Source organism: Homo sapiens, chromosome 1, assembly GCF_000001405.40.
Source record: "Homo sapiens chromosome 1, GRCh38.p14 Primary Assembly".
Lineage (NCBI taxonomy): Eukaryota > Metazoa > Chordata > Mammalia > Primates > Hominidae > Homo > Homo sapiens.
The window spans coordinates 202404588-202423631 of NC_000001.11; the positions used below are offsets into that span (position 1 = coordinate 202404588).

The window sequence follows — 19044 nt, forward strand, 5'->3', positions numbered from 1 at the left end:
CTTCCAGCTTCAAGCGGTTCTCCTGCCTCAGCCTCCTGAGTAGCTGGGACTGCAGGCGTGTGCCACCACGCCTGGCTAATTTTTTGTATTTTTTTAGTAGAGACGGGGTTTCACTGTGTTAGCCAGGATGGTCTTGATCTCCTGACCTCATGATCCGCCCACCTTGGCCTCCCGGAGTGCTGGGATTACAGGCGTGAGCCACCGCACCCAGCCCAAATAATGTTTATACTGGGAGGTTTTTCCTGTAGCCCCTCGACCAAGTTAGCAACTTCTTACTCTGCACTATAACACTTTGTACTTAGCTCTCATTTTATATTAGAGATTATTTCTGTTGCATTGTATCATTTACATGTCTCTTTCCACCACTAAATGATAAAGTCTTAATCATTTTTTATTACTACATCTCCACCTGAGGACCATGTCTGGTATAGTACAGGCCTTAGTAATATTTGTTACATGAATAAATGGAAATGCACATTACAGTCAGGGAACACTGATTACTGAGACAAATTCTTAACCTGTTCTTTGGTAATGTGAGTCAGTGTCAGATCAGAACTTTATCTTCTTAGATTTTCTGCTTGTGCTAACAATTAGACTTGATGGACCCTCAGCAGCCCGTGACTCTGTTATGGTAAAACGCAGTCTAAAGCCCCTCAACTTCCTTTACCAGCTATAGAAGTCAGCTATAGGAGCCCTGGCCCATTGTTTTTCCTTTCCTCTAATCCTAACTTAAATTAACTTTTATCTCTTATGAATGAAACCTGACTGTGATCTGTTTACATGTACAGGAACTTACATAGAGCTTATATTCATATTTAAGTATAACATTACTTATATAGAACTATATTTATGTTTAAGTATATCATTTTTGCTCTTGTGTAGAAAGGAGGGTCCCTTGTTAACTCTGGAGATAATACAAGGGTAATATAATAATAGCAGCTAACACGTAACATTTAACTGTGTGCCAGGCTTGAAGTGTTTTTATGTACATTAGCTCATTTAATCCTAATTGTAACTCCATGAAGTAGTTCTTATGATTGGTATGATAATTTAACAGATGAGGAACCTGAAGCAGACAGAAATAACTCGTCCCAAGAACACAAAACTACTTAACCAGTAGACCTGGGATTTGAACTCAGGAAGTCTTATTTCATAGTCTGTGCTCTTAACTGTATGCTGTACTGCTTAGGGTTATATAACTGCTTTCTCTCGTGTCTTCTACCATGTAGTACTCTACCTGTGGGAGGACATGACAATAAGTGTTATGGACTAATAATATATTATTAGCTTTGACTATATAAAACGCTTGATGAAAATATGCTGGGAAAATAATAACCTTTTATTTAATATCTCCTTTTACGGATAATATTTGGTGTGCTGATTTATACTTTCTGCAGATTTAAACTGCCTGTAATTTCTTTGTGGCATTCACTCCTTACTCAACTCAGATCCCAGGATTGTCTTCCTTCTTTTCCCCAGGCTTACTTGACAGCTATGAAGCATTGCCCATGCCATAGCTTTCAGGCTGTGCTCTTGTGTCTTGTGAAACACTTGTTTATGGGCACAGAGTGATCTGGAGTTAAATAGAAAAATCCCTCTCCATGGGACAACAATTTACTCTACATGCCAACTTGGCAGCAGGGTAGACCACTGGGGGGCTGTGATTAAGACAGGTAGCCAAGAGAGGAAGGAGGTTTCTAATCCAGACTCATGCTAATAAACAGAGTGGTAACCAAAGCACTTTAATGAGATCTTTGTGTTTTGCATTTAGTCTAGTTAGGAGTAACCAACTCAAATTGACCAATTGGCCACATTCCTTATATAAAATTATTGGAGTAGACTAATATCAGTTTACACTGTATATACTAAAATAAAGCTATTTTTAGGGAGATGGTATTAAGCATTGAAAATGTTCCATGAACCAAGTAGTTTCTTGACCCTGGCCATGAACTCTATTTCGGACACCTCTAAAGTGGTAGGTAGAAAGCATTTAGGTGGTTCTGTGACTGAATATATGACCTTAAATAAGAATCATTTAACTTTTCCAAGGCTGAGTTTCTTCATCTGTAACATGGAAAGTCCTAATGCTTATCACTCTAGTTTCCGTATTCTTTTTTTCCTTTACTGTTTTGTTATAATAGACTTTTTCTAAGGAATGTCTTTGATCAAGTCTGTAAAGGTGTATCATTCCATTACTTAGTGTGTCTCAGCTCTTATGTACAGAATTTGTAAGAAGCCAATTTCAATAGGACTTTCTTATATTCAAGTGTCAGAGTTACTCAGCTATCTCACCTTTGAGCTGAAAGAAAGTCATACTTGGGATTTTTATCACAATTAGTAGGCCACATTTATTGTTCCTCAAAATTAGAATTATCAGTGAGTAACAAAGTAGAGATTTGGAGACTGGAACATACAACTTCTGTTTGAAGATGACTCATGAGCTTTGAGAAAATGCAGATTTCATTTTCTGAGCTCTTCATCTTCTTTCTCCTCAACTTTCAAAAAACATGATTTGATGATAAGAGATCAGACGTGTATAACCATAGTGCAAAAGTTGCCAAGTTGTAAGACAGCTGAATGAGTTTTTCTTCTTTTAGGTGAATAAAAGCATGGGGAATAGAGAAGATTGAGGGAAACATTATTTGAAGCGAAGGGCTTATTAGAATCCAAATTGAACACATTTTTGAAATTTAAGTACTGTTAACCCTTAGGCAATATGATACTTGCTCTTAATTGAAGGGAGATGTTCTCTGGTCCCAGCCTGTAAACATTTGCAGTCTTGAGGTAATATGCCAGTTTACTGAGAACAAAATCTTAATCAGTATGACACTTCATGGAAAATTCTTTACTTCTGCTCTCTCGGCTGTCTCTCTTGAAAGGGTACAGATCTGTGTCCAGAGCCTGCCTGACCACTGAGTACATAATCAGATATAGTTCTCACCATCTGAGAGCCAAACTGTCTCTGCCAGTGGGGTTATGAGTCTTTCACACAGGGCAGACAGTTGCTGGTGTCACCTGTCATGTTGGAGCAGACTGCTGTGATGATTTCCACTTAAGCAGTAGTTATACTATATCATGATTGGAGTGAAGAGACAGCTACTTGGAAGGATTGACTCAAGCTCTGGATCAGTCAATCTTAACTACTGATAGGTTAAAGCCTTCCTGTAGTGACGATCTCCTGATGGTGGAGATTGCCAGATTTACTGAGTCCTTTATCACCTTTAATTTATTTGTACTACTGGCTCTCCATATCCATGGGTTCTGCATCCATGGAGTCAACCAACTGCAGATTGAAAATATTTGGGAAAAATAAAAAATAAAAATTTAATATTAATAAAAATAATACAAATAAAAACAGTATAGAATAATGACTATTTACATAGTATTTACATTGTTTTAGGCATTTTAAATAATCTAGAGATGATTTAAAGTATCTGGAAGGATGTGCATAGGTTATATGCAAATATTATACCATTTTATTTAAGGAACTTGACCCTCAGTGGATTTTGGTATCTGCAGGGGGTCTTGCAACCAGTTCCCCATGGATACTGAGGGACAGCTGTATAATTTCTTGGCATATGATTTCTTGGCCGTCTAGTTGGGGCAAGGGGACTTTGAGCTTAGAAATGTTGGGTTTCACAGGGACCTCATCAATTAGTATTTCTATCCCAGTTTCAGTCCTCAGCCAGAATACCTTCAGTAAAATGCCTCATGTGAGAACCATGATTAGTTCTTTCAGGGTTTTGCTATTTGAGCCAGAGATTAGTTAAACAGTTTCTAAAACTTTCTATTTAATGTAGTTGTCTTTTAAAAAGTCATATTATAAATTTATTGATCACTTTTCATCTGTCAAAGAAGGGATCAGTTACAGCTGTGATTTTCAGTTACTAGTAAGGATTGAGGATATGGCAGACTCTCTAGGTTCTGATTCTGATTCGCTATTCTATGGCAAGTTTATTAGTTTCCTGTGGCTTCTGTAACAAATTAACACAAACTTGGTGGCCTAAAACAAAATTATTCAATCATTCTCCCACAGTTCTGGAGTCCAGAAGTTTAAAATCAAGGTGTTATCAGGATCACACTCCCTCTGGTATATATACATTGCATGTATATACCATATTTTACTTATCCATTCAGCCATCAATGGGCTCTTCAATTGCTTCCACATTGTAGCTATTGTGCATAAGGCTGCTGTGAACATGGGTGTACACATATCTCTTTGAGAGACCCTGCTTTCAATTATTATTATTTCTTTCTTTTTTTTTTTTTTTTTTTTGAGACAGGGTTTCATTCTGTCCCCCAGGCTGGACTACAGTCTCTGCTCACTGGAACCTCCACCTCCCAGGCTCAAGCAATTCTTATGCCTCAGCCTCCTAAGTAGCTGGGATTACAGGCGCATGCCACCACACCCAGCTAATTTTTTGTATTTTTAGTAGAGACAAGGTTTCGCCATGTTGCCCAGGCTGGTCTTGAACTCCTGAGCTCAGGCAGTTCACTCGCCTCAGCCTACCAAAGTGCTAGAATTACAGGCATGAGCCATTACGACCAGCATCAATTATTTTGAGTTTATACCCAGAATTCTTCTGGATATATATTCAAAATCCTATTTTTGAATAGAAAATAGAAATGGTAATTCTATTTTTAATTTTTTGAGGAACTTCCATACTGTTTTCCATAGAGGCTATACCATTTTACATTCCCCTGAGCAGTGCACAAGGATTTTAATTCCTTGCCAACACTTTTTTTTTTTTTTGAGATGGAGTCTTGCTCTGTCACCAGGCTGGAGAGCAGTGGCATGATCTCGGCTCACTGCAACCTCCACCTCCTGGGTTCAAGCAATTCCCCTGCCTCAGCCTCCCAAGTAGCTGGGACTACAGGCACGCGCCACCACGCCCAGCTAATTTTTTGTATTTTAGTAGAGACAGGGTTTCACCATGTTGGCCAGGATGGTCTCAATCTCCTGATCTCGTGATCCACCCACCTCAGCCTCCCAAAGTGCTGAGATTACAGGTGTGACCCACAACGCCCAGCCAACACTTTTAAAATATTTCCTTGCATGCTAAAATTTTATTTTTATATTTCATTATTTATTTTTAGAGATGGGTCTTGTGTGTTGCCCACGCTTGAGGGCAGTGGTGCTATCATAGCTCACTGCAGCCTTGATCACCTGGGCTCAAGCGATCCTCCCTCCTCAGCCTCCCAAATAACTGGGACTACAGGCCTATTTTGTTTTTTTGATAATAGTCATCCTAATAGGTATGAGGTGCTATCTCATTGTAGTTTTGATTTTCATTTCCCTAATGATTAGTGACATTGAGCATTTTTTCATATGCTTATTGGCCATTTGTATATCTTTGGATACATGTCCATTCAAATCTTTTTTGCCCATTTTTGAATCAGGTTGTTTATTTTTTGTTGTTGAGTTTTAGGAGTTCTCGATATACTCTGGATATTAATCCCATACAGATATATGATGTGCAAATTTAAAAACTTTATTATGTACATATATTTTTGCTTATAAAAAATATGGAATGCTTCATGAATTTGCTTGTCATCCTTATGTAGGGGCCATGCCAATCTCTGTATTGTTCCAATTTTAGTATATGTACTGCTGAAGTAAGCATTGATTTGCAAGTATTTTCTCCCACTCTATGGACTGCCTTTTTACTCTTTTGGTAGTGTTTCTTGATATACTCTCAACAATTTTGTCCACATGATTTGTTGAAATCAAGGAAAGCGTGGGCTGAAAAATCCAAACAAGTAGGTGTTAGGCTGCACTAAGCCCAGCTTCTAACATATGCCCAGACACCTGGAGCTGGGTTTTATGGGGAAGAGAGTTGTTCTGAGGCCAAGGCAGGTAGTATTAGTGATATTCTGAGACACAACAGCAAGGTCAGCTCTGAAAGCTGGCACTTGCTGGTGGCAACAGTTGCAGGCTATTTTGGGAACCGAGGAGGCTTTGTTTTATGAGGCCTTCTCTGCACTGCCAGATTTAACCCTGGCACTGATTGATATCAGCCACTTTTGCCTTTGATATGGAGAGAGCAGTATCAGGTACAGTAGTGAGATCACAGTGCTCTTTCCCCAGATTATTGGTAAAATCAAGTATTTTTCCTTGGAGATTATCATTGCCAGACAAATGTGACATGCTGATGTTGGGAAACTTTAATTTATTACCTGGCAGTTTTTCTAAATAGTTCCTTCATACTAGTAATTAAGTTATATCTCTATTTCTTAAGGAGCTTAGAACACGTTGTTACTTTAGTAAAATTCGATGTGTCTTCAGGAATGCAAAATAGGAGGAAATGGACTTAAACTGCATCAGAAGGAATCTGGGCCAAATGCAAAGAATTTCCCCATTATCATGAGTGACATCAAAAGCTTGTTTAGCCTGCTTCCCAAGAAAAGGAAAGACCTATCTCTCTGGAAGGTTTAGCATAGCTCTGTGTAGAGGTATGGTGTTGAAGTTCATGTCCCTGGAAACAGTTTTATAAGTGGGCGAATCTGCTCATCTACCATGCTTCAGTCGTGAATGAGTCAGCAGCACAGCTGCCGATGGAGTGGGCAGAAGGGCATCTAAATTTAGTCGTTATTCACTTGAGAAGATTTTCAGGGACTATATGTCTCTCATCCATGCTTTAGTCTCTCATCCATGCTTTAGTCATATTCCTTCTTCTGGAGGCAAAAAAAAAAAAAAAAAAGCAAGAAAACAGTCACTCCAAGGTGCTTCATGAGAGTGTCCTACAACTCTGTTGATTGGTCTTACCTACAAGAATGATTCTCTTCCACCTTAACTGGGTGCATACTATTTTATTCATATAGCTCCTGAATTTAAGAATCCATGGAATTCTGAACATTAGAGAGGGAATTTTCTGCAGTTAGACTTACAAACAAGCTCCAGAATCTTGCTAGTTCAAAGACATTTTTAACCAAACTTCTTTCCTCCTATAAGGTACTGGGGGTGGGAGGGGAGGGCTGTGATCATTGAGGACTAAGTACTTTTTGTTTTTTTTTTTTCCCCTTGAGGCAGTTGCTGTGTGTTACACTGTTGCCTTAACAACAACAAAGTCAGGAACAATTCCAAGGGCTTATCTCCTTTAATCTTTACAAAACCTTATGAGGTAGGTGGTACTCCCAATGCTATAGATGAGTACATATGCTTATAGTTAAGTTAGATACCCCACTCTAGGTTGTACACATCAGCAGAGCTGGTTTGCAAGCCCTGGTCTGTCTGACTCCAAAGCTGGTGCTTTTATTTATTTTACAAATAGAGATGGGGTCTCACTGTGTTGCACAGGTTCTCCTGTACTCAAGCGATCCTCCCACCTCGGCCTCTCAAAGTGCTGGGACTACAGGTGTGAGCCACCATGCCTAGCCAAAACTGTTTTAAACAACATACCATCCTTCACTTTGTGGAGGGTATGGGGAATGATTTAGACAGTTGGCCTCCTTTATTTTCTGTAAGATGGTTCTTCACAGATTGATGATCGCCAAATTACATTTTTAGATTAGGCTAGTTTTGTTGTTCTTGTTGTTCTGTCAAACTTCCTTACAGTGTCATTCCCGTAAAATTTTGTATCAAACTGGCTGTAGTGGCATGTAGCTGTAGTCCCAGCTACTTGGAAGGCTGAGACAGAGGCTTTTTGAGCCCAAGAGTTAATGACCAGCCCTGGCAACAGAGCAAGACCCTGTCTCAAAAATGTTTTTTATATCAAGGATTTGGGATTTATAAGACACAATATCACAAAATTTAAAAGAAGAGAACTGAAGTAGTGATGAGGTGAAGGAGATTAAGAAAAGGAGAGGAGAAGTAAGAGGGGAGGAAAGAGAAAAGACAAGTTTTCTCCCGTTTGATACCTGGACTAGCTGGGCTTATTTTAGGGCCTCTGGAATGTGGCTGCTGTTGTCTTTAAAGGCCAAAGAATGATCTTGAAAACATTGGCTTCTAAAAGTCTGCTTGATAGTAGTGTGGACATTAGAGCTAAGTTTTTAGATTGTTCTTTCAGAGCCAAAGAAATTTTGCAACTCAGGAAGAAGCAATTGACCCAGCTGTCCTGGCCTACACAGGTTTAGACGGCACATTTGACCTTCTTGATATAGGAGTATTACTAAGGGCAAAGAGTGTTTTTAGCACAACCTTTAAAATTCTTTTTTCTTATTGGACTTCAGTACCTTTTTGAAAGTGTCCCCTTCCATTTTTTTACTTAAAAACGTTTATTTACAAAAAAGAAAAATAAATAAAATAAAAATGTTGATTTACAGTTTTTAGTGAGATACTCTGTGATAAGTTGGCTAGACCTTGCCATATGGGATTGCAAATGGGCAGACATACAATATATGACCAATTTAGTGATAAGCATACTTATGAACTATTTGTAAATATGATGAATAATTATGAAACATTTTACATGGTAAAGAATGGGATATACTTGTGGAAGTTGATAAACCTAAGAAAACATCATAGAAGAAATATAATTTCTGGAGCTGCTGTTGAAAACTAGACCATTATGAATACTGGCTATAAAAGTCAGATTGGCCAGAAGGTCAGATTGGAGGAATATATTATATAGCATCAAATCAAACCTAGATTGACAGTTTTAGCTAATCTCAGTAACTGTAAAAGAAGTATCAAATATTTTGGGAAAAAATAACAAAGATGCTGTTTGTAACCAAGTTATCTAGTTAAATTTTCGTCTAAATGAAATCACCCTTTTTTCATTCATCCCCTTCTAGGCAGGATTGATATGAGGTTTATCTCTGAAGGGAATTCCTGTAAGTTCTCTTGGTGTGATATGTACTACTTAAGTCCTGTAGTTACAAGGGCCCTCTAGAGTTCTAACTTTAATTCTTTCCACAGTAATCTTTTGCCATTTAAATAGTTGTTCATTATAACCATGAAATATCTTTTGGTATGCTTGATTAAAACAGTGGTTATCAAACTGATCTCAGGATTCCTTTATACTTAAGAAATCATTTAGGACTCCCAAAATTTAACCAGGACTTTGTTTGTATTGATTATTATACGTTACTAAGAAATTTTTAAAATATGTAGTTATTAAATATGTACTTATTAAGTCATTTAAAGCAACAATGACCCTGCTTACATGTTAATATAAATTACATATTTTAATTAAAAATAGTGATATTGTTTTACATTTTTACAAATTTATTTTAATGTCTGTATTCAATCTGCTGTGATATATTATTTTGATGAAAGTATATAAAATCTGGCCTCTCAAAGGTATATATTTGGAAAAGGGAGGAGCATTTTAATAGTCTGTTCAGACAATTGTAGATGTTTTTCTTGGATATTATACCAAACTCCAACAAGTGATGGTTCGTTTCCTTTTTTTTTTGAGACACAGTCTCTGTGGCCCAGGCTGGAGTGCAGTGGTGCCATCCTGGCTCACTGCAACGTCTGCCTCCTGGGTTCAAGCGATTCTTGTTCCTCAGCCTCCTGAGTACCTGAGATTACAGGTGTGCACCACCATACCTGCCTAGTTTTTGTATTTTTAGTAGAGATGAGGTTTCACCATGTTGGCTAGGCTGGTCTCAAACTCCTGACCTCAGGTGATCCACCTGCCTTGGCCTCCCAAAGTGCTGGGATTACAGGCATGAGCCACCATACCCGACCTGATAGTTTCTTAAATGTAAGTTTTAGAAATGGTAGTTTAAGACATGAGTTTCTTAAATGTTCATGCAGTGTGGAAACTGAAACCATGTCAATGGACTTTTCTTACTCTGTTACATTAAAACGCATTAGTCTAACTTGTACTTTGAATGAATCTTTTACTTCATGTGTGATTTTCTAACACTATGCATTTGTTTATTTGGAAAATATAGGTTGATTGAGTTACAGAGATCTTACAAATCTAAATACATTTCATTATATAATATCAACAAATCAGATTTGTTGATAGTCAAACAGATCTTATCAGAAAAGTGAATACTGGGATGCTGTCAAGCTCATGGTGGTAGCTGTTTCCAGAATTCTTATTTTCACTTGGATGGTCACATTTTATTGCAACACATACTGATTATTTTCTCTGAGTGACAGGCTTACTTTGTTCATTTTCAAGTCCGAATAATCATAATTTGTTGGTTATTCTTTTGAATAAAAGTGGTGTTATTTTGATTTTAAAAAGTGGCTAGTTCATCTCACACCTGAAGCAGATGCACAAGTGGTGTGTTTTTATTTTTATTTTTGTTTTTGTTTTCGAGACATGGTCTTGCCCTGTCACTCAGGCTGGAGAGCAGTGATCACAGCTCACTGCAGCCTCGACCTCCCAGGCTTAAGCCATCCTCCCACCTTAGCCTCCCAAGTAGCTGGGACTACACGTGCGTGCCACCATGCCTAGCTAATTTTTAATTTTTTTGCAGAGATGGGGTCTGTGTTGCTCAGGCTGGTCTTGAACTCCTGGGCTCAAGCAATCCTACCACCTCAGCCTCTCAAAGTGTTGGGATTACAGGCATAAGTTACCATGCCTGGCCCGAGGTGCTTTTTCCTAGAATCAACCATCATACCTCAAAATGCAGCAGAAGTGCTTTATGTATACTTTCCATTTTCTCACACAGAATATTAAAAAAAACATTTCTACTACTTCTTCAAGGTTATTCTTAAGTGAAACTGGCTTTCTTTTTTATTTTTTTAACTGTATGTGGTGAGGAAGAATATAGTGCCTGCTGGTAGTTTTTGATGCCATTGTCTTGCTTCATGTTAAGGCACCAGCGGTTTTACTCACCATTGCTTTTGCATCATTAGTGTAAATGTCAATACAATGAAAATGCAAGTAATATCTTAATATTATTATGAAAATCCTTTGATTTGGATAATTCTTCCTGAGCTGAAGTTTTAGCCTTGTTTTTTAAAGGAGGGGATTAAAAGGCAAGTTTTAAAAAGGGAGTCTCATTTGTTTCTTGGTCCTGAATTATCCCAATGGTTTTGTAACCATCCAAGCCTTGGTAATGGTTATCATTTTCACATGTGGGCCTTCTACCACATTTTTATTCTGTAGCTATGTCAAGATCTTTTGGTTTTTTTAGATCTCATTGCTGTTTGTGACTGTTTCTGTTTGTCTTATGGTAAGCCTAAAGCCTTTATTCAGAAAGCTTCTGCTTTCTCCTAATTGCTGCCATGAAATGAGCAGATGAGACTCCCTAACCATCCATAACTGCAAGCATACTTTGCCATAGTGTTTGAAGCCATTCAGAAAATACATGAAAATACATTTTTTCTGTTTGAAATGATCACCCTACCCTTTCTCACCAAAGCAGTGTTTGTTTAGCAATTCTAGAGTCGTAAACTACAACTTCCCACTGAGAAAAACTGTATTTGATCCTGTGTGATTTTTTCTTTTTTAAATGAATGAAGGAATGAATTTTTTTAATAATAGAGACAGGGTCTCACTATGTTACCCAGGCTGGTCTCAAACTCCTGGCTTCAGGCGATCCTCTGATTATTTTCTTTTAAAATTAATAAGCATCTGCGACAAATAGGTGGCAGTGAAATAAAATAAAATTCATATACAAATCAGTGTTTTGTAACATACTTTCCTTTTTATAATATAATGATGAAACAGCTTATTCATTTGTAGCACTTTAGAAATCGCTTTCACAATTAATCCTAATAATACTATAAATAAGATTTAAGTGTCATAAGCCGGGTGCGGTGGCTCACGCCTGTAATCCCAGCACTTTGGGAGGCTGAGGTGGGTGGATGACCTGAGGTCGGGAGTTCGAGACAAGCCTGACCAACATGGAGAAACCCCATCTCTACTAAAAATACAAAATGAGCCAGGTGTGGTGGCACATTCCTGTAATCCCAGCTACTAGGGAGGCTGAGGCAGGAGAATCGCTTGAACCTGGGAGGCAGAGGTTGCGGTGAGCTGAGATCATGCCATTGCACTCCAGCCTGGGCAAAAAGAGTGAAACTCTGTCTAAAAAAAAAAAAAAAAAAAAAGATTAAGTATGATTATACATGAAACTGTGTTTCACAGTTTAGATATTAAGGCATGGAGACATTTAAGCGCTTGCATAAGATCACAAAGCCTAGAAGTCATGCTCTGGACACAGTATGGAAGAAATAGAAATTAATGTATTATTAGAACTGCTGGGCATTGTCAGTGCCCAGAGCAGTGTCTGGCACATAGTGGAACTCAATGAATACTTGTTGAATGAATGAATGGACTTTTCTTTTCAGGCATGTATTGATGAAAATTTGGACATGGTGAAGTTTCTGGTGGAGAACAGAGCCAATGTAAACCAGCAAGACAACGAGGGCTGGACACCCCTTCATGCAGCAGCTTCCTGTGGCTATCTCAACATAGCAGAGTGAGTGAGTCTCTGTGTGTGTGGCTTTGTAGTATTTGTAGGAATAGCCTTCATTTCTCCTCTATTCTTAGGAATTTGAATTTTATAAATAGTTATAATCTCTCTTTATTACAGATTACAAAAGCAGAAAGTTGAATTATCTTTAAGCCATAACTAATACAATGTTTTGTAAAGTTGCTAAATCCATAGTTTTTTAGTTGAAACTCTTTTTGTTTGCTTCTATTTTCAGGTAATTTATATTTGCTGGGATATGCAGAGGTGGCTGTTCCACTGTCTGGGTTCACTTTCTGAACAACTGTAGCTGGGCACGTATACAGGCAGGCCTGGAGATGTTTTTCTGGATTCTTTGTAAACCTATTTCACTGTTTTTTTAAAAAAATCAGTGCTTAGTACAAATGAAGATAAAAAATGCCTAGCATACCAGTCACAGCACTCGTGTAGTTAATCGCAGAAGAATGAGCCTAAACATGTGGAACAAAGGAAAGGTGGGCACTGGCATGTGTTCTCCACATTAGTTGAATGGGAATATTTAATAAGATACATTAGGAGCTACTAATCTCCAGGACAACTAGTTGCCCCTCCCGTGGGCAGAAGAATCCTGACCATGTGGTACCTGAGATATAAGAGGCACTGAATAAATATCTGTTGTGTGAAGGAATGATTGGGGAGTTTATTTTTAAACAAGGAAACATCTTTGAAATGGCAGTCGAAACATCTTTAAAATGAGGCAGTTGAGTGTATCCTAGATGAGGGTAAATTTATATTGTTAAGGTAAATTTCCTAAATAAAATCATGATATTCTATGCTCCTTTGAAAATCAGATTGCTTGTGTGAAGGCCCTTTTCAATAATATGATTAGAGCTCCATTACATTTCTCCTGTCCAGGAAACAGCAGGGAGAATTTTGTTGGCAGCTGTGTAGAGGCCTGAGAATGACTTCCCACAGAATCTGATTTGCCCAGGTTTCCTAAGGGAGAGCCTGAGTTGCTAGGTTTGCTGCTGACCCAGGGATGCTCAGTGGGAGAAGTTAAACAAAGGGAGAGTCAGAGCCAGAGAAACTTTAGGCAGCAGCACTGGTGTTTGACTGGGCTGCTTGTTCTAAAAAGTGGATGACTGGGTTGGCCCCAAAGCCAACAGAAATAAACAATGCAGTTTTCTTCACTCTTGATTCCTCCCTCTGTTCCAATTTAGTAAAAGTCAGTAACCTCTTCATCCCCTAGGCTGCCTATTTTCAGAGTCTAACAGGAAGGAGGGCTCTTATTCTTAGTCTTATCCAGTAACATCAGAATTCTGATGCCTAAGAGTTGAGGTGATTTTACTTAAAACATTTATTTAAGAAACATTTATAGAACATGTTGGCCTTTCAATTGCTATTTGTTCAGGTGGCATGCTTATGATATTTGAGCTACCAAATCTCATTACATTCAAGGATTCAATTTTTTCCTAAGTTTTTTCTTTCACTTTTCTAAGGAGAGCTCATGCTTAGAATTAGGATCACTTGTGCTGGCATTATCCTCCTGTGTGTGAAGCTAAATACAGAGAATGATTATAATTGCTTTTTTTTTTTTACAGTGATTTCTTTAATTCGTCTTTATGAACAAATATAATTCTTCTGGAAGTAAGTTCACAATATAACAATCTCTAGCTCAAACAAATATTACCTTGAATGAAATAAATCTGTGAGAGCTACTGTTTCCTAAGACAGACTATTATAAATTAAACTTGGAAGTCTGACCAGTAGAGAGGTGATCTAGACCAGAATCCATTGCAGAGGTGGGGTGGCGGTGAGATGGCCTTCTTTATTTTATTTTTCACTATACATATCATTATTAGACAGGTTTTGACTTTACTGTCATCTATTTATTTGCAGTATGTAGCATTTTTTTTAATATGCAATGGAAAAAAAAACATTGTTTGTACTGTTCATTTCGGTTGCTTTACCTCAGGGCCAATGGAGAATGTTGTAAATAAGATCAGTCCGTGATGATCTCGTCATTTTTATTTTTGTATCTTAAAGATCTTAGACTTTATGCTCTTATTCCCAGAATCACTAGGAACTCTAAATTTCAAGGGAGTAGAAATGAGTAAAGGCAAACTGGCTTTCTAGGAAGAATCCAAGTACATTCTATTTCATGTTTCATGGTGATCTTTTTGTCTCAGTATGTTGCATCAAAAGCAGGGAGCTTCAGAGGCTTTTTTCCTCATTTTAAAATGAGTTCAGGCTCAATGCTAGTTAGCTGGGTGTTTTTACATTTTTTTTATGAATAAATGTTTCACTTAGAAGCAGCAGATTGACCCAAACATACATCATTTGGCTTTATAGTTTATTGAGTTGCTAATTTATTCTCAGTTTTTGAACGTATTTCATTTTCTTTCTTCCTCCCTTAGGATAGTAGCATAAAGACCTTGTATTGGTGTTGAGTTAGGAAGGACAAGAAGGCCTTATTTTCTAGGGGCATATTTATTGAGCTAGTGGCTGTTTGTGAGCCTTTGGGCAACTGTAAGGATTCTCAGAGATAAAGTAGAAATTACTTCATAGGTTGATATTTATTCTTGTCCAGGTAAAAGTAAAACTAAAGAGGTTTTTAACTTTTTTTTTTCCTAGAACTGGAGAAAATGGAAAAACAGAGAGCCAAATTACTTTCTAAAAATTCGTCTTCTTGATTGTAGAACATGGGAAAAGCAGGGTCCTGTATACCCAAGTGACATTATGCCTGATCCAGTAGGGATGGAATAGATGTCAGAGTAGAGTGGTTAAGATATTTCATGTAATTCAAGCAATATTTATGGAATACCAAGAGGAAAAAGCAAGTGTCAGATGTCATGGCGATGATAGTAATGAGGAAGACCCAGTTGTTGCTATTAACCAAAAACTATCTGAGGCAGGTCTCAATCAATTTAAAAGTTTATTTTACCAAGGTTAAAGATGCGCACCCAGGAAACAGATCTGTGCCTTTCCCCAGAGATCAAGTTGAGATCAATACTTAAAAGGGAAAAGCAGCATGGTCACATTCCTGAATTCACATGTTGCCAGAGAAAAGGAGCAAGTAGGGGAATAGTCAATTAAATGTTCATCTCACGCTCAGTAAATCTCACTTTACATAAGATAATGTGAACATAGAGGTAAACATAGAACCTGTGGAGATATTTAACTTTTTATCTATAGCTATCTGCTTAGGAACAAAAGGTAAGGCAGCTTCTTGCATGACTCAGCTTTCAGCTTAATTTTTTTTCTTTTGGAATAGTGAAATTAGGGTCCCAAGTTTTTATTTTCCTTTCACATTGCCTTCAAGTAGCTTTCAGTCTGATGGAATGGTTGCATCGAGGTACAGTGTAAGTCATGACTGAGGTCTAGAATTAGTGTTTGTTGGGGAGGAGAAGAGGGAGTATGGGGTTAAAGGAAGGAAAGAGGGAATTCAGTTTGTGAGAACAGGCAAAGGTTTCATGAAGGCAAAAGCATTTTAAATGAACTTTGAAAGAAGTGAAAGGTTTCTACAAGGGAAAATAGAAGGGAGAGTGTTCCACCTAGTTGGAAGAAACAAGCTGTGGAAGAGAGCTGGGTGAGAGTTGATGTGTTTGGGAACAGTAAGTGGTTTAGTTTGATTATAGAGTATAGGGCACACTTCAATCCAGGAAACATTTGTTGAGTGCTTACTATGTGTATTATTTGCATTTTGATATTTCAGGGTTGGGGAGGTGTAGCTGAATATTCCTTTTGCTTAAGGGAGAGGAATCAGAAGAGAGGAGCTGTTGAATATGTGGAAATGAAGGGTAATTTATGAACGGAATACTAGGACTTGATAGAATTAAGAATACAAATAGAGGGAGTTCGTTTTGGAATTGAATAAGGTCTGTCTTCCTCTGAGACTATAAGGGAAAGAAGGAGATGGTTAAAAGGTGAATTGTGAAGGCTTTTGAGCTTTATACATGTAGAATTGATCTATAAATTAACAAACATTTGTTGAGGCCCTATTATACCAGGTACTAGGCACTGAGAAAGCAAAAACATGGTCTTAATCTAATCTCTATTGATTCTTTTCCCTCTGCCAACTTTTTTTTTTTTTTTTTTTTTGAGATAGAGTCTTGCTCTGTCACCCAGGCTGATGTTGGCTCACTGCAACCTCCGCCACCTGGGTTCAAATGATTCTTGTGCCTCAGCCTCCTGAGTAGCTGGGACTACAGGTGCCTGCCACCATGCCCGGCTAAGTTTTGTGTTTTTAGTAGAGATGGGTTTCACCATGTTGGTCAGGCTTGTCTCAAACTCCTGGCCTCAAGTGATCTGCCCACCTCAGCCTCCCAAAGGATTATAGGGGTGAGCCACTGCGTTTGGCTCCATCTGCCAGTTCTTTGAATGCAGTGGCCAGTGGCCATATATTATCTCTCTCTTTTTTTTTTTTTTTTTTTAAATCTCCTACAGTGTCTAAAATGTGGTTCCCATGGCCAGGCGCAGTAGCTCACACCTGTAATCCCAGCACTTTGGGAGGCCGAGGCGGGCGGACTACTTGAGGTCTGGAGTTCAAGACCAGCCTGACCAACATGGCAACACACCATCTCTACTAAAAAAATACAAAAAATTAGCTGGGCGTGGTGTCACATTCCTGTAATCCCAGCTAATCAGGAGGCTGAGGCAGGGGAATTGCTTGAACCTGGAACGTGGAGGTTGCAGTGAGCCGAGATCGCACCATTGCACTCCAGCCTGAGTGACAGACCAAGACTCTGTCTCAAAAAAAAAAACAAAAAAAAAAGGGGTTTCTTCAATATAGTAGGGGTCCAGTAAATGTTTATTGAATTGTTGAATGGATTGAAGTCTAATTTGAATCATTTTTCTTTTTCCTTTAAACACTTCTGAGTATTTGATAGAGCTCCTAGCGTTATTAGAGTTCTCACTGGCCCAAAAGTGACTTGATCTAAAGAAAAGATGAACTAGATTTGAAGTCAAGACTGGGGCTGTACCCTCTGCCATTTACCCGCTATGTGGTTTTGAGAAAATTACTTAATATGTATGAACCTCAATTTCTTAAAGTCATGGTAATAATACCCACATTGCCTACTTCATAATGTTGCCTAAGACTTATGATATAATTTTATGTGAAAGCACTCTGAAAATCAAAAAGGATCTATGTAAGGTATTGAATTATCAGACCTTTCTTCTTCAGAATCAAGTATTCTATTTGGATTTAGAATTTAATTATTTAACATTTTAATATTTCTTCTTAAGTAATTTAGTTTCGTCTTACAGCACAGGAAGATTTCATGTGGATGTCTGGTTGATAGGAGAGTTTTATGGAGGCATAATTTAGGCAGATTTATGCAAATTTTAATGCACACTTTATTCTTCTATTTTCACACCCACAGCACTACTTAATAAGCTCCAGTGTGGCACTGGGAAAGTTTAAGGCTGCATGCCTTCTTTATGTTACTTAGAAATTCTCTTGCCATCCACTGGGAGTGAGAGGATGGGAGTTAGTAATATGAGTGTGAAAGAAATCCTGTTTGTTGGCATTGCTCTAGTCAGGAAATGGGGAAGCCTTCAGTCTTAATTATTGAAGTTTAAGGCACATAGAAATTAATAATGGAATATCTTAACTGAGACCATATTTTAAACTCAAAATAGAGACTTCGCTGTGTATTGAATGCCAGATGCATGGGTAAAATTTATATTAGATTGACAGATAATATTGATCCTGGATCTTGTCTACGCAGGTATTTCATTAATCACGGAGCCAGTGTAGGTATTGTCAATAGTGAAGGTGAAGTTCCCTCTGACCTTGCAGAAGAGCCAGCCATGAAGGATCTTCTTCTGGAGCAAGTAAAGAAGCAAGGTAACCTCATGGATTGGAGGGGGCCAGGAAAGATTCTCAAACACTGCCATTTACAGAAAATAATCCATTTGCTGTGCAGAGCATTTCACTATCACATGACAGGAGAGGATTTGATCTGTCTGCACTGCATTAATCATTAATCCAGCATCATGTATCCTCATAATAACTCAGACAAGAATAGGCCAGATGTCAAAAGGATGACCAATCATTCCTTGTTTTTGCCATTCAGAGGTTGCATACCCATCATACAATTAAGAGTGACCTGATGAGGACTGTGTGTATGCACAGTACTGTGTGTATGCATGGTATTGGGATACAGTGTAAATTTGAGAATTGGCTAAACTGAGTTTGTGACTTTGCATCTTTTCCCTTGTTGAGAGCTAAAAGTGGTGCTGATAAAGATATTTATTGTAACTAATCATGAGAATTAGTATGATAATTTGTTAAGGTGAGGAAGCTAACTTAGAATAATATATTCTAAAAATGCTTATTCTTATTTTATAGTTTTAGGAGAATCGATTTCACAGAATAGGATGGAATTTTTCAACCTGGAAGTCCCTGGGTTCTTTTTCCACCACAAAACTCTGCGGACAAGATTTGTAGTGATTTTTTTTTTTAGTCCTTCTGCTAAACTACCTTACTCACAATCTTGCAGTTCATCCCAGAGGATTTAGCTCCAGTGGTCTTTCCCAATATGAACTTTTAGAACAGTCAGGGCCAATTCTTGCTATGCGCATTGTTTACATATTATCCAAAACTGCTTTTGTGCCACAACAGCAGAGTTGAGTAGTAGTGATAGATTGGATGAACCACAAACCTGAAAATACATATTGGCCCTTTGGAGAAAGTATGCTGATCCTACCTTAATATAGTGATGTTCTAGGTCAGTAACT

General features: G+C 38.0%; 1 protein-coding gene and 1 pseudogene across 18 annotated transcripts in view, besides 1 other annotated feature; one reads left to right on the forward strand and one right to left on the reverse strand.

Annotated features, from left to right (window-relative positions):
* PPP1R12B (protein phosphatase 1 regulatory subunit 12B) overlaps positions 1 to 19044 on the forward strand; it is a 244004-nt gene that overhangs the window by 55889 nt on the left and 169071 nt on the right. For 17 of the 18 annotated variants that reach the window (XR_001737195.2, XR_007060689.1, XR_007060690.1 and 14 more), the window contains exons 2-3: positions 12200 to 12330; positions 18033 to 18151. Coding sequence is in view for 11 of the 18 variants with exons in the window: in NM_001331029.2 (NP_001317958.1) it covers positions 12200 to 12330; positions 18033 to 18151 (250 nt within the window). In the remaining 7 variants the exon portion in view is untranslated. Of the gene's footprint in view, positions 1 to 12199; positions 12816 to 13901; positions 13948 to 18032; positions 18152 to 19044 lie in introns of those variants that run through there. The other variant, XM_047421210.1, reaches the window with a different exon arrangement.
* Positions 5521 to 5620, reverse strand: RNU6-89P (RNA, U6 small nuclear 89, pseudogene; annotated as a pseudogene).
* Positions 15040 to 15603: an enhancer, noted in NCBI's record as "OCT4-NANOG hESC enhancer chr1:202388755-202389318 (GRCh37/hg19 assembly coordinates)". NCBI's record gives its function as "activates a minimal SCP1, AML or CMV promoter by ChIP-STARR-seq in primed H9 embryonic stem cells {active_cell/tissue: H9 hESC(primed)}" and the evidence as "EXISTENCE:reporter gene assay evidence [ECO:0000049][PMID:30033119]".